Raw genomic sequence first — 25,808 nt, forward strand, 5'->3', positions numbered from 1 at the left:
AGAGCAGAGACTATGGGATCTAACGTGATAAACTGACATTAGGTTAGAACAGTACAAAAATGCCACATTCCAACCACTGTTGATACACTTCTGGAGAAGTGGACTTTCAATATAAAGCAGTTATTCTAGGTGCAATTTTAATAGCAATGAAATACAATGAAATGACAAATCTCTGGTTCATTCTGAATACAAGAGTTCCTGCTTATTTTGAGACCATGTGAATCAAAGAAGTCGACATCACCAGCACTTTGCTTGTAGGCTAATCTAGTAGTGACTTTTGATTTCCTGCTCCCCCTGTTGATCCATCCATCCACAGCTTTAAGACCAGCCTGACTACAATCATTCTTCATGTCACCAAAATCTCCATCCGCAGGCAAGAAGGAGATACCCAGCTGTCCCAGTTTGTTACCCCATCGCAAGCACAAACTGGGATCACTTTCTCCACCCCAACTGTGGTAGGCTGAATAAAGGCCTCCCAAAGATGTGAACGTCCTAATCCCCATAATCTTTGAATATGCTATCTCATAAGGCAAAAAGGATTATGCAGATGTGATTAGGTTACAGATCTTGAGATGGGGAGATTATCCTGGATGATCCTATGGACTCTATGTAATCACAAGGGTCCTATAAAGAGGGAGGCAGAAAAATCAGTGTTACAGTGGCTTAATGTGAGAAAGACTTGACTGGCAATTGCAAGTTTTGAAGATGGAAGGGGGCCATGAAGCAAAGAATGTGAACAGCCTTTAGGAGCTAGAAGAGGAAAGAAAAGGTTCTGCCCTAGAAGATTGGGAGGCAGGGCAGCCCTGCTGACACCTTAATTCAGCCCATTGAAACCGGTTTCAGACTTCTGACTTCCAGAATTGTAAGATAACATATTTATATTGCTTTAAGGCACTATATTGGTGGCAATTTGTTACAGCAGTAATAGGAAATTTAGACAGACAATTCTGTTCTTGGTCTATAGCACCACCTCAAAGCATCCTTATTCATTGATCGCTCACAGTTAACCACCCTGCCACTTGACTTGCCAAGACCTATTGATTCTGTCTCCTAAATTCTTTTAAGTTTTGTTTTTCTGTTTTTGTTTTTTGAGACGGAGTCTCACACTGTGGCCTGGGCTGGAGTGCAATGGCGCGATCTCAGCTCACTGCAACCTCCGTCTCCTGGGTTCAAGTGATTCTCCTGCCTCAGCCTCCCAAGTAGCTGGGATTACAGGCTCCTGCCACCACGCCCCATTAATTTTTTGTATTTTTAGTAGAGACAGGGTTTCACTATGTTGGCCAGGCTGGTCTCGAACTCCTGACCTCATGATCCGCCCACGTTGGCCTCCCAAAGTGCTGGGATTACAGGCGTGAGCCACTGCACCTGGCCAAGTTTTGTTTTATTTTTATTAACAAACTAATAACAATTGTTTATATTTATGGGTTACAATGTGATGTTTTGATACATGTATACATTGTGAAATGATCAAATCAGGCTAATTAGAATATGTATCATCTGAAATATTTATCATTTCTTTACGGTGAGAATGTGTAAAAGCCTATCTTTTCCTAAAGCGTCTATGTTCCATCCATCTTTCCTTGTCTCCACAGCTACTCTCTGAGAGAAAACTTCAGCCTGTGGCTCCTTACTGTTCTCCCTACGTCTGCTCAGGCCACTCCCTTCGCCAACCCCAAGCTGGGCAGGCCATTCACCAAACTGCCCCAGAGGGTCTTTCTAAGACATAAATCTGAAATATCTCAAGACAAATGGCTTGCCATTGACAGCAGAATGAAAATCACCTTTCTTTACCTGATAAAATATCTTTCACAGTTTGACACCTACCTAGGCATCCAACTGTAATGTCTGCTTCCTGGTCAAACTTGCTGCTTGACCAGCATGACATTCATACCTGGTGCTTCAACATGACTCTGTGCCTTTGTCTGCTGTTCTCTCACTGCTCCTCTAACTGACAAACCCCTAAATATCTTTCAGTACTAAACCAACTGTGTTGGCGGGCTCTTGACAGTGAGCTCCTTGAGGGCTGGGACCTCTCTTCATCTCTTTGTCTGCAGTGGCTAGCTGAGGCCTCCCTCTGAATGAAGAGGAGGGGGCAAGACTTCCTTTCTCATAACCGCTAGCCTACCTTCTTTCCTGCCACATTAGCTTACTTTTACTTTCAGCTCATATTTGGCTTTGGAATTACTTTCAGAATTAGCAGTTGATACCCGCCCAGTCAGACACCATGTCCTCACACTCCTGTGTTTTCAGTGAGCAGGTGCAAGATTTAAGAAATAGTAAAAGAGGCGGTGGCTCACGCCTGTAATCCCAGCACTTTGGGAGGCTGAGGCAGGTGGATCACGAGATCAGGAGATCGAGACCCTCCTGGACAACATGGTGAAACCCTGTCTCTACTAAAAATACAAAAAAAAAAAAAAATTTAGCTGGGCGTGGTGGCACGTGCCTGTAATTCCAGCTACTCAGGAGGCTGAGGCAGGAGAATCACTTGAACCAGGGAGTTGGAGGTTGCAGCAAGCCAAGATTGTGCCACTGCACTCCAGTCTGGCGACAGAGCGAGACTATCTCAGAAAAAAAAAAAAAAAAGAAATAGTAAAAGAACAATCAGCTCTGATATCCTGGCCACTTCATCTAATGCTAAGACCTTCATTTTAAAAGATAGATTTAGGGTAAGAAGCACTTGTCAGTCTCAATTTTGCTCCAGATGAGGACCCACGCAAAACTACTTCTATGCTTTCCTTTCTTGGTTATAAAGAATTCCACTTTCTTTCAATTTTCAGCATAGATAAGTTTTTTACTTTCAAATCATCCATTACTTTTCTCTGGCCCATCTCCAATTTCCTAATATTGTGTTTAAAATATGGAGCTCAAAATTAGGCTCTAACATAGACCTTATCAATGGTGAACACAGTGAGTAAATTTCATGGTTCTTGTGTACTACATACATTCTGGTTAATGCAATCCCAGATCATGTTCACCTTCTTGATAACAGCCCTATATTGCTGACACATATCCCTGACAGGTGAGAATGGCTTTTTACCTATAGAGTACTTACATGTCAATTCCAATCTTTATGATGGCTAGGATAGTCTATCAGTATATTTTTTCTGGAATAATAAAAACATCACCTATTGCAAAGAGCTGTCTAATGCACTGACAGTATAGCTCATCTTGACTTGATGTTCCACTTCATAATTGGAACCATTAGACTGAAATCAGAGCTTCTGAAAATTCTCTGAGTTTTATTTTTAAACATGTTATATATTTATGTGGGTACATAACAATTTCATTCAAAGTAAAAATAAATACAGTTATTCTTCAACTATTAGTTGATACAACTTCACTTTAGAAGCCATAAATATCAGAAACAATGATTTAGATAAACCATGTGGAAATAGTTTTAGGAGGTATCCTCCAATTCCATTTATGGAATTCTCTTTGCATTTTCCAAAAAAAAAAATCTATAACAGGAAAGACAGTTGAAGGCAGAGACTGCATTTTAAGTTATCTGCCTTTCTAACAAAGCAATGGAAAGGGAGACCCAAATTATGCTTCTGAAGTGAAACGGGATAAGCTTAGCAAAAAATTTCATCTCTAATTAACTCCTTAAAAAATTTCAGTCCAGATTAAGTATATTTCTGTTAATTAACATATATAGTTAATTTCATTTTCTCATATTGACCTAGTAAAATTAAAGCATACAAATACATCTAAAATTTTTTGACATACTTTCATGACAGATTGAACATTATCTTATTAAAGCAAAATGTATAGATAAGTGCTTTGGAGTGAAAACATCTGGATCATAGTCTTAGTGCATTCAATCACTATAAGATCAAAAAAGTCACATTACTCTTTAAGATCTCCATTTCTTTTACATGATAATGACAATCAGTAATCGTCATAACGCTTACAACAATCTACTTTTTCCCTCTGATGTGAGTGTGGCTGAGAAATCCATATAACCCTTAAAAAAATAATGAATAAGATTAAAATACAACCCTGTAATGTGGACCAGTATGATCTCTAAAATACAATCTGACACTTCAATATAGGGAAGTTGAGGTTGGAATTTGAAGTTGAAAGTCCTACTGGAGCCTCATTCCCATACCTCCTAGACATATGGCCTCTGAGCCGTGGTTTCCTCATTACTGTGTCAGATAGACTACACTAGTTTCAAGTTTTTGTTCTTGGAGGTGAAATTCTGCTCAGATCCTCAATAAACAAATGATGAAAACAGGGCTGCTCTGGTGATGCCAATGTGGCAGATGTGGGGCACTTCGCATCCTAACCCTTCATTCTATGGCCCCAGCAAAAGTTGCATGGAACAAAATTTTAAAACCAATGGAAGCGATTTAGATATGATTGTTTTCAATTATCAAGTCTTGGTGTCTCTTAACCATATGCACTTGCCAGAGGTGGGGTGAGGGAGAAGTGGTATTTTAATGGCAAAGAGCACTGGTACAGATTTGGACTTCTAATCCTTGGTAGGCTAAATATTCAGGAAAGCTCTCCTTTCATAAAACATTTGCATGATGGATAAACAGCTAACTTACAGATAAACACATTGCTGAGCTCTCCAGAAAACAAGGGAAGCTAACAAAAGATGAAACCTACAAACTAAAACAAGAATGCTAAGCAAACCCTGAAGTTGGGCCTTCCATGCAGGAAAAAAATGACCAAACCAGGAACCCAGAGCTTTGGACATTAATGGAAAAAAAAAAAAAAAAAAAAAAAGCAAAGGGTCTGCAGAAAGTAGTGCTGTTAAGTCTGAGACCCTAAATTCAACGGGTACTAGAAACAACCTCACCCTCAGTGAAAGAGAGCACCAAAAGCCAATAGCCTGTTGCAGAGGAAACAGATAGGAAGCCTACCTGTCCCTGCCTACTCTCAGGATAAATATAGCAAGAAAATAATTGTCTCCCCTCAGAATCTACAACAGAAGACCAGATCTCAGATGGTGTGAAGTTTATATTACTTGGGGTGTCAGGAAAACTCTAGGCCAAATAATAACTATTATCAAGATAGGGTGTCACTCTGTCACCCAGGCTAAATTGCAATGACACAATCATAGCTCACTCAGCCTTGAAACCCTGGGCTCAAGCAATTCTCCCACCTCGACCTCCAAGTAGCCAGACTATAGGCGAATGCCACTATGCCCAACTAATTTTTTATTTTTCATTTTTTTGGAGAGATGCAGTCTCACTATGTTGCCCAGTTTAGTCTTGAACTCCAGGCCTCAAGCAATCATCCCATCTTGTCCCCAGTGCACTGGGATCACAGGCATGAGCCACCATGCCTGGCCCAGGCCAAATAATTAAATAAAAGCTGCCCTTAGTTGGCTACTTATTGAAGCCCTGGTACCCCAATGAAGCACAGGCAAGTCTATTCTGCAAAAAAAAAAAAAAAAAAAATCCTTAATATACATCCCTCATAATTCCCACAGATTAAGTTCAGCCAAGTATGAGCTCACAAGCAAACATTAATATATGTAGGTGAGGAACTAAGCCAACAGCAAGCTACAAATTTGCTTGATGGCCTCAGGTATTAGCATTAATTGACATAGAACAGAAAATCGTTATGCTCTAAGTGGCTGAATAAATGAGAGGAAAAATTTTTTAATGATCAGAAAATATCCAATCAGACAAAAAAATAACAAAACAGATGATTTTATAAATAAAAAAGAAAGCTTTTGAAACAAAAAACTGAATGATGGGTTACACCACAAATTAGAACTCACTTGAAAAAAAGATTCAGTGAACTAGAACAAAGACTTGAAGGAGCAACCCCAGATTGCAGCATAGAGTGACAAAGAAAACAGAAAATGTAAATTAGAGGTTATGAGGCATGAATGATCGAAAATGAGAAGGAACACATTACAATTAAAATTGTCTTTATCCAAAGACACCATAAAGAAAATGAAGAGTTAATCCACAAACATGGTGAACATAAAACCCAAAAGGATGTTACATAGAATACATTGAAAAATGGGCCGGGTGTGGTGGCTCACGCCTGTAACCTCAGCACTTTGGGAGGCCAAGGTGGGCAGATCAGGAGGTCAGGAGATCGAGACCATTGTGGCTAACATGGTGAAACCTTGTTTCTACTAAAAAAACAAAAAAAATTAGCTGGGCACAGTGGCACGCGCCTGTAGTCCCAACTACTCGGAAGGCTGAGGCAGGAGAATCACTTGAACCTGGGAGGTGGAGGTTGCAGTGAGCCGGGATCACACCACTGTGCTCTAGCCTGGGCGAAAAAGTGAAACTTCATCTCAAAAAAAAAAAAAAACATTGAAAATGCCTATGTATCAAAAGATAAAGACAACCCAACAGAGAAATGCGCAAATGTCAGAAATAGGTATTTCAAAGAAGAGGAAACATAAGTGGTCAAAAAAAAGTATGAGAAAATGTTCCAATAGTAACCAGGAAAACATAAATTTAAACCAGGAGGTATCATTTGATACTCAAGATTGGGGGAAATTAGAAAAGTTGTGGTTTCCAAATGTTGACAAGAGCACAGAGTATTGAATACAGGTGGGAATTTAAACTTAACAACCACTTTACACAGTAATTTAGCACTGTATTTGAAGATACACATACCCATTGGCTAATTATTTCAATGACTAGATGTATTATTTCCCAGAAAACCATCTGCACCTATGTCTTACAGATATATAAGGTCTTAGCAGCATTATTTGTAGTAGCAAAATAAAAATAAAAAACCCAACTATGAACAATTCAAATGAATCAAGAGATCATTAAAAACTTCTGAATAGTCATACAATGGAATATTTCACAGCAGTGAAAATTAATTAAGTGTAGCTACACAAATTAATACAGATAAATCTCAGGGATAAAATGTTGAATAAAAGAAAAGCCAAACAGAGTATGAGTCCCTCTATATAAACTCAAAAACACATAAAACAATATATTGTCTACAGATCACACATGTAGAATACAACCATAAGACAACATAAAAGGCACAGAAAGGAGGTTTGGTGGGAGAGAGATGAGGGGCAGCAAACTGGAGAAAAGTACGTAGGAGACACTCCATTTATTGGCAATGGTCTTTAGCTGGGCAGTGCACACACAGGTGTTTTGTCTTTCTAGTCTTATAATGTAAGTACCTGTTACATGCTTTCTTTTATATGTATGTAATGTTTTGTTAAAAGTATTAAAATTCTAAAAAGAGCATTGGAGTTGGGAACGAGCAGCAAACCCCAGGGAAAACTGGAGCTTTGGCCAGATTTGTCTCAGACCCCTCCCACCTGCATTTTGTCTCAGCCAATTACAGCTCCCATCCACGAATACTGCCAAAGGAGTATGTGATAATCCTGGTGTTGGCAAATAGAAGTTGGAGGTAACTTTTCCCATGGAAACTTTGAAGGCAAAAGACCAGCCTGGCTTTGACACCCTCCCCAAAACAGCCCTGTGCCAGGGGACACCTTCTCACAGCAGCCCACACACGACTCAGCTCCACAATGGGGGTGACTGGAGGGCCAGCCTGTGGACCACTTACAAGAGCATCCCAGAGCCCCTCTAGAGGGCCAGTTACCCCTAATGATCACAATGCTTTCTCTATATTTTTCACCGTGTGTGCTCAACAAGCTCCTAGTCATTCACCTTAGTTGAAAAGACAAATAATTTGACCAACTTTTTGACTAGATATAAAATGTGAAAGGAGTCCAACAATGCATACAAGTCACACTTCTTATATTACTATTTAAATGTTAGTGACTTCTGAATTTAAGAATTGTGTTACTATTTGTCAACTAATCAATATGTTTACTGAAACACTCAGTCCTTATAAGCATAACTTAGTGCATACTGCAATAAAAAATTTAAAATCTTGAGCATCTGGGACATGTAAAATATGTGATTAAGTAATTTATGGGAACATTCATGCAGCTTTATTTATAGATAATTTAAAATACCATCATTGCATTTTTTTTAAGTAAAAACAAGTACACAAAGAATAGAACAAAGAACAGCTTGATTTATTCTTGTCAGTAATAGAATATCAGTATCTATTAGAATGTGATTTAAGTTAATTCCTCAAAATTAGTTTGGTTGGATTTTCAATGTTTTTACATCAGAATGCAAAACTTATTGGTATAGATTTTTCTATGCTGTAAATGCTATCTTAATGAAATATAGAAGGAAGGGAAGGAAGGAAGAAGAAATTAAGCTTTTTCTAAAGACAGGCTATATGATTCAACTAAGCCAATTTAACTTAACTGCATTGATATTTGCCAGATTGCTATCCTCCTCTGCAGAGGAAGGCCCTGAAAACACTAATGTTCATCACAAATTCTCCTAAAGTCACATTAGGATCTGATAAAATCAATAATTCTTTGGCACATTAAAAATTGATCTCAAGGAGATATTGCCTTATAATTATTCCTTTGCCAGATACCCATACAAAAACACTTTCATAAATTGTTAAGGTTTTACTTAATATTCTGCATCCTTGAAGTTCTCAAAAATATCAGTAACTATCACGTTAGTTATTCAGCAGCAACGCTGTGCTAGTATTTCATATAGTAACAGAATACATGCCAACTAATTCCAAGAACTGCTTGTATAACTGGATTAAAAATTTCACTAATAATTATTGTAGAGAAGACCAGCAGCCTAGAGTCTGACAAAGATTGTTGTCTGGAGTGACTTCTCATCTGTTTACCTTCCTACAGGCTTTGGAGACCATTTCACTGGCAATGAAGGAATTCTACTGATTTTGCCCAAAATGCATCCTCAGGCCTACCTCCTTTCAGGGAGAAGGAACCAAACGAATAAATGATCCCATAGCCTACATCAGAGATCAGAAATAAAATGGTTTGGAATTGAGGGTGAGTGGGGAGAGAGTGACCTTGAGAAGCCACTGCAGGAGGGCCCTTCTAGGTCTCTGAGGCAACCACAACTCCTCCAGCTTTGTTTTCTTGGTTATTCTGTCTGCAGCGAAACCCTTAAAACAAAACAAAACAAAACAAAGAAGCCCTTCGAAGCTCACCTGAGAAGTGACTAGAATTAAGGAGAGGTTATGGAGTGTTCGTACTCAGCAGGAATTCGAAACCATGGAGGTAGCCAACAAGGGCGCCCTCACCCCTGAGGGTCCATTTGGATTTGCAATTCTATTCCCCCACCCCCACCCTGCCACCCAATCTCTGTACACACACACACACACACACACACACACACACACACACACACACACACACACACAGGCACTCCCTTTGAAGCAATTTATCAGGCTTTCTTCTGGGGAAAGTCTTGGAGTAAATATTAGTTTTCTTAACTTATCCTTCTTCTATTGACAATGACCTGTTTTGTACCAAAGAAGCTACTGAGTAATGGAGTTATGAAGCACGCTAAAACTGGGAGTTCATCCAGGTAAAGCTATCTGGGATTTTGTGCCAGAGTCTAATCCTCTTGCCCTCTAGGTCTGGAGGTATCTCTACAAGGTCAGGGAGATGTGCTCCTACCTAAGTGATTGTCTCTTACTGCGCCCAACAACGCCAGGCCCCATTGTGCTCGGAGGAGTGAAGGGATTACAAGAGGGCAAAATAAACTCTTCCAAGATGCACAGATACTTCCCTTCTAATATCTCTGCACCATCCAGAGATACTAGCAAGGAAGGAGAAGTTCCCTTTACAATTTGGAATGCAGTATCCAGGAATGTGGTATAATTCTTTGATTTGGGTGATAGGTATAAATAGCAGTGGTAAAAACAGCAAGTTACTTCTGTCTACAAACCGAGGTCAAGTCATCCCTTCTTAAAAAACTGTTAGCTGGACTGTTCCTGTCTGGTGTAATAGTGTGAATAAAGATTAGTCTGTACACATACATACAATTCCTCAAAATAGTATCTTCATATAAGGAGAGTTATATTTGTATAAAAGAACGTGTTTGAAAATTACAGGCAATGTAGCAACAATTCCTGAATTATTCTTTTGTTTACTTAGCACTTCAGTTCAAAAGGCTAATTAGTTATTTTGTTTAAGCTGAGGAAGAGGGGCTGAGGCTGACATGGAACCCAAAGTAACTATCTTTGGTTTATATATAGGTGGTTAGGATATATCAGGCGCTGTGTAGCCCTCCCTTTATTATCTCACTGAATTTTCACAACAACCCTGGGAAAGAGGTATTATTATCTCCATTTTGTAAGTGAAAGAAACAAAGAGGGAGAGAACTTACTTAATGTCTCATGGGCTCATAGCTAACTATTAGCAAAGCCAACATTCAAACCCAGGCCTAACTCCAAACCTCACGACCGAAGTTGAACCAATACTTATTGGGAGATGGTGCATGAGGCAGCAGGGAGATTCCTGGCTCCCATTTTCCTTCAAGAGACTCTGCTGCAAGGAGCATGGGTGATGAACAGCCTCCAGTTGCCATACCTTTGCATCACCACAGCTTTCACTCCAAGACCAAGATTTTCCAGGGCTTCTCTCAGCCCATGTCTAAGCATGCGCTAAGAAGGTTGTCAGAAGTGAAAGGCTCAGGCAGTTTATCAGAGAGGCGGGTGGAGATCTGGAAGGACAGTGCTGTGGATCTCAGATGCCTCAGAGACACCAGGGCTCCCTTGGGGTGAACCCACAGCTAGGGAGAGATGGTGCCTTAGGGAGGGAAAGCGGCATACCTAGATCAGAAGGAGCTTAATGTACCAGATTTTAAGAGGCTGTTAAGTGAGAAGGGAAACCGGGACCCAAATGAGGTATAGATATTGAATGAATAGAAGTTTGTAGAGTAATAGCAGGTAGAACGAATTATTTACATTTTCTTTTTCTTTGGTGTCTCCTGTTTTCTTCTTCCTCCTTGATTATCTAACTCTAATCTCCTTATAAAAAACATACTCTTGTCCTTTTTCTTTCATCCTCCAGTCAGCAGAAAAACATACCAATGAACATTTTATTTCTTTTTTTTATTATACTTTAAGTTCTAGGGTACATGTGCACAACGTGCAGGTCTCTTATGTATTAGACTTTATGTTCGTTGTTCTCCATACAGATTAATTGAACATTAAAATTTTTCTTTCTCAAGAAGAGTTAACTGCTCTTTTAACATGTATCATGGCCCTCAATTAACATTCTTTCATAGGGTCATAGGGTCAATGGTAAGAAGAGGGTACACTTTTCACTTTCATCAGAGGTATTTTCATAGGAAAATACTGGCTAACAAGATTTATCCTATAAAATTAAAACACTAGTGAAAATCAAATTCACTTAGAAAATATCTATATACAATTTCACTTACTAAAAGAGCTAAAATAAAGGCTAAGGTTTTTCTTAAAGCAATCAACTTCAGGAGCTACTTGCAAATTAGTGTCTGTTCTTTTCTTTACCAGTCATTAGCCTGAATTGGTACCCAAGTCATGTTACGAGAAAATAAAGACTTACACAGACCATTTTAAATTCTGTAGTCTCAATTACCATATATGCTCTTATTAATTGTTTCTAAGAATTCCTCTTCAAAATGTGTGCAAGTAACGCATCATATGGAAAGGCAACTGAGTTTTCATATACGGCTTAAAAATACAAACTTCAGAAACACAGATGTTATACCAAATTCTCACTTGCTTACTCCCAGCTAAACTCAATCTCTGAGCTTTAAAAAGATTTTCTAAACTGCTAAAGATTAAAAAAATGACATTATACATTCACATCTGGCTCTGTCACCATTTAGGGCATGTTAACATAGATTTTAAACATCTGGGGACAGGGGAAAAGATCTATCGGGAGCTTTTCACTACCATGACAACTGAAGTGTACTGTTGCTCAAATAGTTCAGTCTCTGCTCATCTACATTTAACACCACCACAGGCCTTCCATTTTTCACCACTTAAAAACAACAATTATCATAGGAAATAATACTCATATGTAGAAAGTTCCTAGGGAGAGTGTTTCTTTCATTTCCATCCTGCTTTAATCCTGTGGGTAGGACAGATCCTTCCTCTTTGCAGCAATGCAGTTAAACCAGTTTATATTTTCTGGCTTTTAGACATGGAAGTCCTTCCTATATTTTTGAGTCACTCAAGAGATGGCTCTTAATGACAAAGTCTTAATGGAAATGGTGAAAATAACCTAGCATTATTTTTTTCTATAAAGCAGCATCCTTTCTGTGTGTTCAAAATTTAACCAACATTCTAAAGAGCATAGAATATGGGCAATAAAAATTATAGGTTTCATGTGTTAATGTTTTCTGAATGGCAGATGTACAACATACTTTAGACATACTATTTTTCATTTATTCTTCAAAACTACCTGTAGTTAGTATTATTACTTTGGAAAATTAAACTATGGAGAGAGGTACAACATTCACACAACCATGTATTAAGTGCCTATGCTTGGGCAAGTGCTGTGCTAGGCAACAGGAATGTAATGGTAAAAATTACAGCATGCCCCACCCTCATGGAGTGTATCAGTCTGTTCTCACACGGCTCTAAAGAACTACCTGAGACTGAGTAATTTATGAAGAAAAGAAGTTTAATTGCCTCACAGTTCCACACGCTTAACAGGAAGCATGGCTGGGAGACCTCAGGAAACTTACAATCACGTCAGAAGGCGAAGGGGAAGAAAGCATGTCTTACCATGGCAGAACAGGAGACAGAGAGAGAGAGTGGGGGAAGAGCTATACACTTATCAGATAACCAGATCTTGTGAGAACTCACTCACTATTATGAGAAGAGCAAAGGGGAAGTCTGCCCCCATGAGCCAATCACCTCCCACCAGGGCCCTCCTCCGATACGTGGGGATTACAATTCAAGATGGGATTTGGGTGGGGACGCAGAGCCAAATGATATCATGGAGCCTACCATCCATGGCCAAGAAAGGGAAACAAAGGGCCACTGACAGGTGGGAATGGAATCTAAATCTGACTTCAAAGCAAAAACCAAAACATCAGGTCTGACTGACTTCTAAACCAAAAGCCTTGAAGTCACCTTTGACTCACCTCTTCCTGTCACACACAATACATCCAATCCATCAGCAAATCAGGCTAGCTCTGGCACAAAATCAATCCAGATTACAACCACATCTAACCACCCAGGTCAAAATCACAACCATCTCTCACCTGGATTATTACCTCCATTCCTAACTAATCTCTCCATCTCTAGCCCTTTCTCTATTTATTCTGTTCTCAAGAGACAGCCATCTGGGTCTTGCTAAAATGTTTTGTCAGACATGTCACTCTTCTGCTCAAAACCCTGCAAAGTCTCCCATCTCACTCAGAGAAAAAGCTGAGTCCTTACATCAGCCTGCAGGGCCCTATACAATGTACTGGGTCACTGTATCTCCCACTGCTCACTTTCTTGCTCACTCTTTTCTGGCCCACAGTCTTCTCTATTGTTCCTCAAACATATCTGGCCTCTTCTCATATCAGGAGTCTGTACTTGCTGTTCCCTCTGCCTAGAACTCTCATCCCTTCCGAATGGTACCAGCTTAGCAAGGCCTATCCTGCCCATATTTATGACAGCAAGCCTCCTCCAGCATGCCCTATTCTCCCTTCCCTGCCTCATCACTCTCTGCAGTACAAATCACCATCTGACATACACTTTACATGTTGAAATTGTTCACTGGCTGCCTCTTGTGTCTCCCGGCTCTACAGAGCTGACTGTGCTCATCTCTTCCCAGCTCCCATCCATTGATACCATATTGCTAGCCTGAAATCAGCTGTGATCAGCAAACACTACAAAATAGGCCTTTAAAGAAAAAAAAAAAAGACAGCCAAATTAGTGTATAGCACTCTCCTCCTAAGAACACATAGCCCCCTCCAACAAGAAAATATGCTGCATGAAGCAGAGTTTTTGTCCATTTTGCTCCATGCTTTCTCCACAGAACCTTAGTGCTTGGCACATCATAGGAACAAGATAAATGTTTGTTAAATGAGTGAACATTTCTCCTATCCTCAAGCAGATTGAAAGTACTAGTATCAGAACTCCAAACCTTCATTTTCAGAACTGCTCTAAGCATGTTCTGTGGTTTAGAAAGCGTGGCCATTTTCCTGAACCTACTCCATCTGTTCCTAACGGGGGCTCCTCTCCACTTGCATGGTCTATGGGCAGAAGACACAAGGATTGCCAGTGCCCTCCAGTCTCTGCACATGCCTCTAACTCACAGACGGCAAAGCAGTAAATTGGGAAAAGCCTGACAAAACTGTTTTTTCATTTTTATTGTAACTTGTTAAAACAAATATTAAACTACAGATGATACAGTGTGCTATGTTCAAAACTGTAGAAAAATGTGTGTTAAAACTATGGGTCATGTTTAAGAAGACCCCTTTAAAAACACGTTGTTTAGAAAGTAAAAATTTTTTTTAGGATCCAAGGAGCAGTTTAACAGAGGCTCTAAAGGAAAGAGCAAACTGATAAGGATCTGCAGAGGAAACATGTTATTCTGTCACATACATGGAGGATAACTCTTTGGTAAGTAAAAGAGAAAGAATGTCACTGACCCACGTAAATGTGTTAACAGTGCCTTAATTCAATTGAAGTGGGAATTCTAGAATGTTCGTGAGCTTGGTGAACATGATGGAGGGAAGAGGTCTGAATTCTGTGGTGCAGGTGGGAGAGTCTGTGATTAAGATAACAATCAAAGTATTGAACTAGGAGAAAAGAGGGAAGAGGTTTAATAGAACCCTCCACCAATCATGCTTCCTTCAGGAACACAAAATTGGACAACTATTCACACCCAAAAAGCACCTTTAAAAGAACCAAAAATCACAGTACCTGGTTTTAAATTTATATCACTGAAAGAGGCACTGAAGAGGATATAAAAGACAATATTGAATTCCTGATGCCACCCCTTCCTCATTCCATGGCAGTACATCCCACCATCGCTGCACTCTCCCTCCCCTAAACACACTTGGGAAAGGGAGAGTGCAGTGATAGTGGGACTTTGCATTGAAACTCAGTGCTGCCCTGTCACAGAGGAAAGCAACACTAGGCAGAACTCAACTGGCACCTACAGAGGGAGCATTTAGACCAGCCCTAACCAGAGAAAAATCATTCACCCCAGTGGTCAGAACTTGAGTTCCAGCAAGCCTCATCACTGCAGACTAAAGTGCTCTACAGATCTCAATAAACTTGAAGGCAGTCTAGGCTAAAAGGACTACAATTCCTGGGCAAGTTCTGGTGCTTTGTTGGGCCAAAAGTCAGTGGACTTGAGATGCATATGACCTAGTAAGACACCAGCCAGGGCAGCCAAAGGAGTGCGAGTACCGCCCCTCCACCAACCCCAGGCAGCACAGCTCACAGCTCTGGGAAAGACTCCTTACTTCTGCTTGAGATGAGAATAAGGAAGAGTAAAGACTTTGCAAGTCCAAGTTCAGGACTTGCAACTTGGATACTAGCTCAGCCACAGTAGACAAGGGCACCAGGCAAAGTCCTGAGGCCCCCATTCCAGGCCCTAGCACCTGAATGACATTTCTAGACACATTCTGGGCCAGAAGAAAAGGACCCAATCTTGGGTAATTCATCACATGCTGACTAAAGAGCACTTTGACCCTGAATAATCAGCAGTAGGACCCAGGCACTACTCACTGTGAGCTTTGGGTAAGACTCAGAGACATGCTGGCTTCAGGTGTGACCCAGCATATTGCCAGCTGAAGTGGCTATGGGGAAGGACCCCTTACGCTTGAGAAAAGGAAAGGGAAGAGTAAAGGAGACTTTGTCTTACAGTTTAGGAACCAGCTCCGTCACAGTGGCACAGTGGGATAGAGCATCATGCTGGCTCTTGTGGTTCTCAATTCCAGGTGTTGACTCTTGCACGGCATTTCTGGACCAGCACTGGCCAGAGAGAAGTTCACTGCCCTGAAGGGAGAGTTCTAGGCTGGCTGTATCCACCACAAGTTGAACGAAGAGCCCTTGGGTCTTGAAGGAACAATGGTGGTAGCCAGGCAGTACTCACTGCAGACTTGGGGCAGTGGTAACCATGAGGAGAGACTCCTCTGCTGGTGGAAAGGAGAGGGAAGATTCAGGAGGACTTTCCCTTGTGGCTTGGGTGCCAGCTTAGCTACAGTAGAATAGAGAATCAGGTAGATTATTAAGGTTTCCAACTCTAGGCCCTGGCTCCAGGACAGCATCTCTAACCTGGGGGGGATCTTTCTGCCCTAACAGGAAGAACACAAACTTGGCTGGCTTTACCACCTGCTGATTGTAGAGCCCTAAGGCCTTGAGTGAACACAAGTGGTATCCAGGCACTGGTTACCGCAGGCCTTCGGCAAGACCCAGTGCTGTGCTGGCTTCAGGTCTCACACAGCACAATCCCAATAATGGTGGCCACAGGGATGCTTATGTCACCCCTCTTCCAGCTCCAGGCAGCTCAGCATTGAGAGAGAGACTCTGTTTGTCTGGGAGAAAGTAAGGGAAGAGAAGAAGAGTCTCTGCCTGGTAATCCAGAGAATTCTTCCAGATCTTATCCAAGACCAACAAGGTGATAGCTCTCTGAGTCTGCAAGCGTCACAGCTTGGGCTTGGGTTACCCTCTAATGCAGATATGGCTGCAAGGACCAAAAACTTATAACACTAACATCTTTTCAAATACCTGGAAAACCTTCCCAAGAAAGACGGGTACAAACAAGCCCAGACTATGAGGACTACAATAAACACCTAACTCTTCAATGACAAGACTGGACGAATACCCACAAGCATTAAGACCATCCAGAAAAACATGACCTCACCAAATGAATTAAATAAGGCACCAGGGTTATATCCAGGGGAGAGAGAGCTATGTGACTATTCAGACAAAGAATTCAAAACATCTGATTTAAGGAAAGTCAATGAAATTCAAGATAGCACAGAGAAGGAATTTAGAATACTGTCTAATTAATTTAACAAAGAGACTGAAATAATTAAAAAGAATCAAGAAGAAATTCTGGAGCTGAAAAATGCAGTTGACACACTGAAGAATACATTATAGTCTCTTAACAGCAGCATTGATCAAGCAGAAGAAAGAATTAGTGACCTTGGAGACAGACTTATTGGGAAATACACAAAGGAGACAAAAGAAAAAAGAATCGAAAAGAATGAAGCATGCCTACAAGGTCTGGAAAATAGCCTCAAAAGCCAAAAGCACAAACCTAAGAGTCATTGGCCTTAAAGAAGAGGTAGAGAGAAAGAGAGATAGGGGTAGCAAGTTTATCCAAAGGGATAATAACACAGAACTTTCCAAACCTAAAGAAAGATATCAATATTCAAGTACAAGAAGGTTACAGAACACCAAGCAGATGTAACCAAGATAAGGTGACCAAGACATTTACTAATCAAACTCCCAAACGTCAGGGATAAGGAAAGGATTCTAAAAGCATCAAGAGGAAAGAAATAACATATAATGGAGCTCCAATACGTCTGCTGGCAAACTTCTCAGTGGAAACTTTATAGGCCAGAAGAGTGTGAAATGACATATTTAAAGTGCTTACAGAAAAAAACTTCTTATCCTAGAATAGTATATCCAGTGAAAATATCCTTCAAATAGGAAGGAGAAATAAAGGAGAAATAAACTATACAAACACATGGAAATTAGACAATAAGCTCCTAAATGACTAGTGGGCCAATGAAGAATTATGAAGGAAATTTAAAAATTTATTGAAACAAATAATATTTTTAGAGGAATAATTTTATTGTAGAAGAGTCTTATGTAAGCATAAGAGCAAAGAAAGATCCCACCAAATAAATAAGCATTATATATGATTACATAAAACATAACATTTCAAAATACATGCACACACACACATCACAATATACATGACAGAGAAAAGACTAATATCTTTACTATATGAGGATATTTTATAAATAATAAAAAAGGTAAATACATCAATAGATCAATAGAAAACCTGGCAAAAGATATAAACAGGCAACTCACTGAAGAAGAGCTAGAAATAATATATGGTAAAATGGATGGCAAATATATGAAATAATTTTAAAACCTTATTTGTGATCAAATGAAAATTTCAATAATTCCAACACATTTATCATATGATATATATACACACAATTTCCACATTTATCTTATAAAACTGGCCAACATTTTTATTTTTAATGAATATGCCCAGCACTTAATAAAAATGTAGGAAAATGAACATTCATGCCAGCTCATGGAAATATAAATTGGACTAACCATTCTAATCCACAATTTGACAATAAATATAAAAGCCTTAAAATGTATTCTGTATGAAGTAGGATATACGTTAGGATATCAGATTCTCCTAGGGATAATACCAAGGGTTTGAGGAGATGATATTCACTACAGCATCATATGTAACTGAAAAAAAAGGATAGGGCAATCTAAGTATCCAGTAGCCAAAATGTCCAAACCAATCATGAAATATGTGCACAGGATTGGAATAATATGAAGATGACACAAATTAAGTAGTAGACAAACACAGTGAACTATGGAAACAATTGACAGTGTATTTCTAAGGGAAAAAGTATCAAAAAGTACATGCTATCATTCATTTAGCCAACACATCGAGTGCTGAACTTAATTATATAAATAATAACAGCTTATGTGTATATGTAAAGAAAATACAGAACAGACATAAGGATAATAATATTACCTTTAAGTGTTGAATATTATAATGAAGATGATGGAAATCATCCATCATCTCACTATTGTTCACTGTAATAAACGTGTAAGACTTTGGAAATCAGAAAGTAACAAGTTATAAGGAAGTTATAAGGTGTCATGCTTTACCATATCTTACTTTTTTAAACATGCCATGCTCTTTCAATATGTCATGCTATATTGTCATGCTTTTCCCCATAAGTTATAATATGTCATGCTTTTTATTTTGCAAAATCCCTTCTCCTAAGAGTTTAATAATAATGATACCAATGGGATGGCAAAATGGTTCCAGCTGCTTTTTTTTCCTTTTATTTATTTTATTTATTTATTTATTTTATTATTATTATACTTTAAGTTTTAGGATACATGTACACAATGTGCAGGTTAGTTACATATGTATAGATGTGCCATGCTGGTGTGCTGCACCCATTAACTCGTCATTCAGCATTAGGTATATCTCCTAATGCTATCCCTCCCCCCTCCCCCCACCCCACAACAGGCCCTGGTGTGTGATGTTCCCCTTCTTGTGTCCATGTGTTCTCATTGTTCAATTCCCACCTATGAGTGAGAATATGCGGTGTTTGGTTTTTTGTTCTTGCAATAGTTTACTGAGAATGATGATTTCCAATTTCATCCATGTCCCTACAAAGGACATGAACTCATCATTTTTTATGGCTGCATAGTATTCCATGGTGTATATGTGCCACATTTTCTTAATCCAGTCTATCATTGTTGGACATTTGGGTTGGTTCCAAGTCTTTGCTATTGTGAATAATGCTGCAATAAACATTCGTGTGCATGTGTCTTTATAGCAGCATGATTTATAGTCCTTTGGGTATATACCCAGTAATGGGATGGCTGGGTCAAATGGTATTTCTAGTTCTAGATCCCTGAGGAATTGCCACACTGACTTCCACAATGGTTGAACTAGTTTACAGTCCCACCAATAGTGTAAAAGTGTTCCTATTTCTCCACATCCTCTCCAGCACCTGTTGTTTCCTGACTTCTTAATGATCGCCATTCTAACTGGTGTGAGATGGTATCTCATTGTGGTTTTGATTTGCACTTCTCTGATGGCCAGTGATGGCGAGCATTTTTTCATGTGTTTTTTGGCTGCATAAATGTCTTCTTTTGAGAAGTGTCTGTTCACGTCCTTTGCCCACCTTTTGATGGGGTTGTTTTTTTCTTGTAAATTTGTTTGAGTTCATTGTAGATTCTGGATATTAGCCCTTTGTCAGATGAGTAGGTTGCGAAAATTTTCTCCCATTTTGTGGGTTGCCTGTTCACTCTGATGGTAGTATTGAAACAAATAATAAAAGAAAAACAATACACCAAAACCTCTTGGATACAGCAAAAGCAGTACTAAAAAATTTTTCCCCATTCAGTGCAATACTAGCTGTTGGTTGGTTATGACTTTTATTGTATTGAGGTATATTCCTTAATACCTAGATTTTTGAGGGTTTTTAACATGAAGTGATGTTGAACTTTATCAAATGCTTATTCAGCATCAATTGAAATGATCATATAGTTTTTATCCTTCATTCTGTTCATACGATGTGTCACATTGATTCATTTGCCTATGTTGAACTATCTTTACATCCTGGGGATAAATCCCACTTGGTCATGATGAATGATCAAGTTTATAAGATCTGGAACATGACATCAATGCCCACTTTCACCACTGTTATTCAACACAACTGGAAGTCCTAGCCAAAGCAATCAGACAAGAAAAAGAAATAAAGGGAATCCAAATTAGGGGGGAATAAGTCAAATTTTTTGGTTGCAGATGATCTGATATTTGGAAAAACCTCAAGACTTTACCAAAACACTATTAGAAATGATAAATTTCAGTAAAGTTGAAGAATACAAAATTAACATTCAATGATCAGTAGTGTTTCTATATGCCAACAGCAAACAATCTGAAAAAGAAATCTAGAAAGTAATCCCATTTACAACAGCTACAGATAAAATGAAATCCACAGAAATTGTGTATTTCACAAAAATGTGAAAGATATCTACAATGAAATAAAATACATAAAAATATGTATTTTACAAAAATATCTACAATGAAAATAATAAAATACTGATGGAAGAAATTGAAGAGAACACAAAAAATGGAAAGATATTTCATGTGCATGGGCTGGAAGAATCAATATGGTTAAAATGTCCATACTACACAAAGCAATCTACAGATTCAATGTAATCCCTGTCAAAATACCAATGACATTCTTCACAAAAATAGGAAAAACAATCCTAAAATTTATATGGAACCACAAAAGATCCAAAATAGCCAAAGCTATACCAAGCAAAAAGAACAAAAGTAAAAGAATCACATTATCTGACTTCAAATTATACTATAGAGTTATAATAACCAAACAGCATGGTACTGGTATAAAAACAGACACATACACCAACAGAACAGAATAGAGAACCCAGAAACAAATCCATACATCTACAGTAAACTTTTGACAAAGATGTCAAGAACATACCTTAGGGGAAAGTACAGTCTCTTCAATAAATGGTGCTGGAACAACTGGATATCCATATACAGAAGAATGAAACTAGACCCCTATTGCTCATCATATACAAAAATCAAATAACAATGGATTAAAGACTAAAATCTAAGAGCTCAAACTGTGAAACTACTACAAGAAAACACTGGGGAAATTCTTCAGGACATTGGACTGGGCAAAGACTTCTTGAGTAATACCCTATAAGCACAGGCAACCAAAGCAAAAATGAAGAAATAGGATCACATCAAGTTAAAAAGCTTCTGCACAGCAAAGGAAACAATCAACAAAGTGAAGAGATAACCCAAAGAATGGGAGAAAATATTTGCAAACTATCTATCTGACAAGGGATTAATAACCAGAATACAGAAGGAGCTCAAACAACTCTCTAGGAAGAAATCTAATAATCCAATTAAAAAATGGGCAAAAGATCTGAATAGACACTTCTCAAAAGAAGACATGCCAATGGCAAACATGTATATGAAAAAGATTCTCAATATCATTGACCATCAGAGAAATGCAAATCAAAAGTACTATGAGATATCATGTCACCCCAGTTAAAATGTCTTTTAGCCAAAAGTCAGGCAATAGTAGATGTTTGCAAGGATGTGAAAAAAAGGGAACACTTGCACACTGTTTTTAGGAATGTAAATTAGTATAACCACTAGGGAGAACAATTTGGGGGCTCCTCAAAAAACTAAAAATAGAACTACCATACGATTTAGCAATGCCACTGTGAGTTATATACCCAAAAGAAAGGAAATCAGTATTTCAAAGAGATATCTGCACTCTCATGTTTATTGCAGCACTATTCGCAATAGCCATGGTTTGGAAGCCCTCAACAGACAAATGGATAAAGAAAATGGGGTACATCTACACAAGGAGATACTATTCAGCCATAAGAAATGAGATCCTGTCATCTGCAACAAAAATGGATGCAAAGGAGGTCGTTATATTAGGTGAAATAAGCCAGGAATGGAAAGACAAACTTCTCATGTTCTTACTTATTTGTGGGAGCTAAAAATTAAAACAATTGTACTAATTGATATAGAGAGTAGAACAATGATCACCAGAGACTGGGAAGAATAGTAGGAGCAGGGGGAAGGGGAGTAGTTAATGGGTACAAAAATATAATTAGATAGAATGAATAAGATCTAGTATTTGATGGCAGGGCATGGTGGCTCAGGCCTGTAGTCCCAGAACTTTGGGAGGCTGAAGTGGGCGAATCATTGAGCACAGGAGTTCGAGACCAGCCTGGGCCACATGGGAAAACCCCATCTCTACTAAAAAAAATAGAAAAATTAGCCGGGTATGGTGGCATGTGCCTGTAGTCCCAGCTACTTAGGGGGAGTACCGCTTGAGCCCAGGAGGCAGAGGTTGCAGTGAGCTGAGATAGTGCCACTGTGCTCCAGCCTGGGTGACAGAGCGAGACCCTGTCTCAAAAAATACATATATATCCAGTATTTGACAGCACAATAGAGTGACTACAGTCAACAATAATTTATTATACATTAAAAAATAACTAAGAGGATAATTGGATTGTTCGTAACAAAGAAATGATAAATGCTTGAAGAGATGGATACCCCATTTACCCTGATGTGATTATTATGCATTGTATGCATGTATCAAAATATTTCATGTACCCCTTAAATGTGTACACTTGCTACGTAACCACAAAAATTAAAAATTAAAAAAAAAATCACAGAGTATTGGATTAGGCCAAAAGTGTGCATACAGAGTTTGTGCTTATTGTGCATAGAGTTTCCTTCTTTATTAATGAAGCTTTCTGTTTTTCCTTTCTTTAGAGTTATCAATATACCCTAAGTAATTTATTTGTAACCGCATAGTTTGTTGGTAAAAAGTTCCCTACAATTTTCCTTATTTTCAAATATTACCAATGGCAGTAAGTTAACACATTCATGGGAGCAAAGCTACAAAAATGTTAAGTCTGGCCATATAGAAAACCCTGGCTTGATGTGTGTTTAGTGCTTAAAAATCCCCAAATATATGAGATACATTATTACATATCATCTGACCAACAATTTTGTAGAGCAAATATTGCAAATCCTGAATATTATAATACTCATTATATGCATGTAGATAAGTATAAAAACTGAAGCTCACAGAGGTTACTGCTCACCAATTAGGGCAAGTACAGTTGCTGAAGTCCCAGCCTGCAGACTCAAGACCCTACTGCTCTTTCTAATGCATGATGCTGATTCTCTTGAAGGTAAGTTTGGAATCTTCAGAGGTATGTGTTAGGCATGGGTAGATATAAGGATTCTCTGATAAAACCTCTGGTAGAGACATCCTGTGAAATGTCTGTGGTCTTTGTCTCTGGGTAATATCTGTCTAATCCTCTCTTGAGCTCAGGGAGTTGCAATGGCTTAAGGCTGGAAGCACCAAGTCACTGAGCAGAGAAACATCCAGGAACAGGCATGCATGTATGATGCAGAATGGCTGGGAATCATTCCATCATGTGACACCACTTTACGATATCTTCCTTTGTTATGTGTTCCTGAAAAATACTTTAGAAACATATCCTCTTCACTAAAGACATTTCAGTAATTGACTCCTTAATTCAATAAATGAAAGCATCATTATTTTGAGGTCTAAGAATGGGTACGAGCATGGGGAGGGCAAAGTGTCATTTCTGGTTGAATTTCCTGAGAATAAGAACACCGGACTTTAAACAATATGATATGACTTTTTCCCCGAAACTGAAGTTATTTCTATCCTATTTAATGTCACATATATTTTAACTATTATGTAAAAAACATTGTGTTAGATGTCAAAGGATATAAAGATGACTGAGATCATTTCTTCCCTCAAGGAATCGCCAATCCAATGAAAAGATGAAACTCATCTTTCTAGAATACATTTTCCCGTGTTTATCTTTGAAAGAGTACACTGAATATTATACAACTTCTTCTTGATGACTGAGGGACATCATTCCAAGCCAGCTGATGTTCTGGGCCACAACAATAAGCACAGCTGCAGCTAGAAATGAGTGTGACAGGAGCTCAGGGCTACTGGTCATAGGAGTTAACCAAGAACTGCCTTCTGCCATCTCAAATTGGGTGGATGAGGGGCTGGATAGATAACAGATATAAATACCCTGATGTCATGATTGCTTTTTGGTCTTTTCCCTTTTTCCTCCCATCCTATATATGAACCAAAGACCTGCTTCATGACTAATGTGCTTTGAACCAGCACAAAACCGCCATTAGCCATCAGTGAGGTATACAGGTAGCAACAGCTGAAGACCTTTCCTGTCGGGCACCCTGCAGAGTGTCCAGGTCTGACCTAAATGTTACTCCTTATTGCTGGGCCTCCTCTAACGTCAGTGTCAGCTACCCACCTCCTTTCATCACTTGAATTTCTAAACCAACTGGCATCACCCCTTCTAAGCTCTGCCAGTTATTCTGCTATTCAGAACTCTCCGTTCTCAAATTACAATGTGTATAAAATGTCCAGCACAGTGCCTGACACAGAGCAGGCACTCAGTAAGTGCTAGAGCCCCTTTCCTTGTATTTTATAGTCTAATCTTTGATCTGACATTTTTCCTGTCTCTGTGTCTTTTTACGATCAGGTGGATATACATAGGTACTTCTTTATGGTTAGCAAACCAAAAAATCACAATCCATTACTTTCTATTTGTATGTATCTGTGAATGAAGCTTTTTTTCCTTTTACCCCTGCATAAGATACTTCTTAGGTTATCTACACCTTAATAACTCATTTGCAACTGTATAGATAGCTTAAAGGTTCTTTTTTATTTTCATAAATTTTCTCCACCCAGTGGTTATAATTTAATAAAGTAGTCACTGTGGCTGTATTTATATTTTGTAAGTAATTTATGTTTTGGTACAATGAATAATTCTGGATGTGAGTTATGTGACTGTGAATATACAGTTTGAGCTTTCTAGAATCTCTTCACTACCATTCTGATGCTGCCTCCTCTCATCTAATGACAACAACCTCATAGAAGAGATAAAAGTCTAAGATTCAAATCTAAAAGGCAAAGCAATTATAAAGTATAGCACATGTAGCATCTAATTATTTTTCCACATATAATGTCACACATGCAATTGGAAAAATGTTCTTTTGTTATTTGTAACATAAACCATGTCATTTTATTTTATTTTCACTTCCTTGCAGACTCTCATTAAAGCTTGCACACATATTATTATTCCATTGAAAAGTAATAACTTCATTATTATGGCATAACAATTAATGTAAGGTGTATCAACACAAATATTTAAAAGGACCATTACAAAAGTAAGAAAAACATTAATCTACTACTAGGGACTTACTTCATTCATGTAAGAAATTTTTCCATCTTCTGTCCATCTGGAGAAGAGCAAGATAAATTAATCTTTGGTTCCAAACATTTTTAGAGTTGTTTTATCAGGAAATAACTTCCTATTTTCCCAAGTTTTGAAATTTTGCACCTTCTCATAAGTATAAAAGAATCTCAGCATTTCACTTTGACCCATTTCAAATTTATATGGCAGATTTCCAAATGCTGGGAATTGCAAAGTGCCTGTTCTTAGCACATGATATCTACCATCTGCCCTGGCCATCAGGATAGGGTCCAGATAGTTCTCCAACATAATATTGTAAAGTCAAAGTGCTCTTGGCATTTATGTAATATTTTTGCAACATTTTGCAGGTGATAAATAAATTGTAACTTTTTCAAACTGGGACTCATCTAATTACATGCATGGGAGCACTTTTCTTGTGC

The 25,808-nt window shown here is 38.6% G+C and overlaps 1 protein-coding gene across 30 annotated transcripts in view; it reads right to left on the bottom strand.

The window, feature by feature from the left end:
• ENOX1 (ecto-NOX disulfide-thiol exchanger 1) overlaps positions 1–25,808 on the bottom strand; it is a 573,843-nt gene that overhangs the window by 371,376 nt on the left and 176,659 nt on the right. For 9 of the 30 annotated variants that reach the window (XR_007063686.1, XM_047430421.1, XM_047430417.1 and 6 more), the window contains one exon: positions 25,378–25,414. The exons of the other annotated variants lie outside the window; for them this stretch is intronic. The gene's annotated coding sequence lies outside the window, so the exon portion shown is untranslated. The remainder of the gene's footprint in view (positions 1–25,377; positions 25,415–25,808) is intronic. 30 annotated transcript variants of the gene reach the window in all.

Source organism: Homo sapiens, chromosome 13 (assembly GCF_000001405.40).
Source record: "Homo sapiens chromosome 13, GRCh38.p14 Primary Assembly".
Classification (NCBI taxonomy): domain Eukaryota; kingdom Metazoa; phylum Chordata; class Mammalia; order Primates; family Hominidae; genus Homo; species Homo sapiens.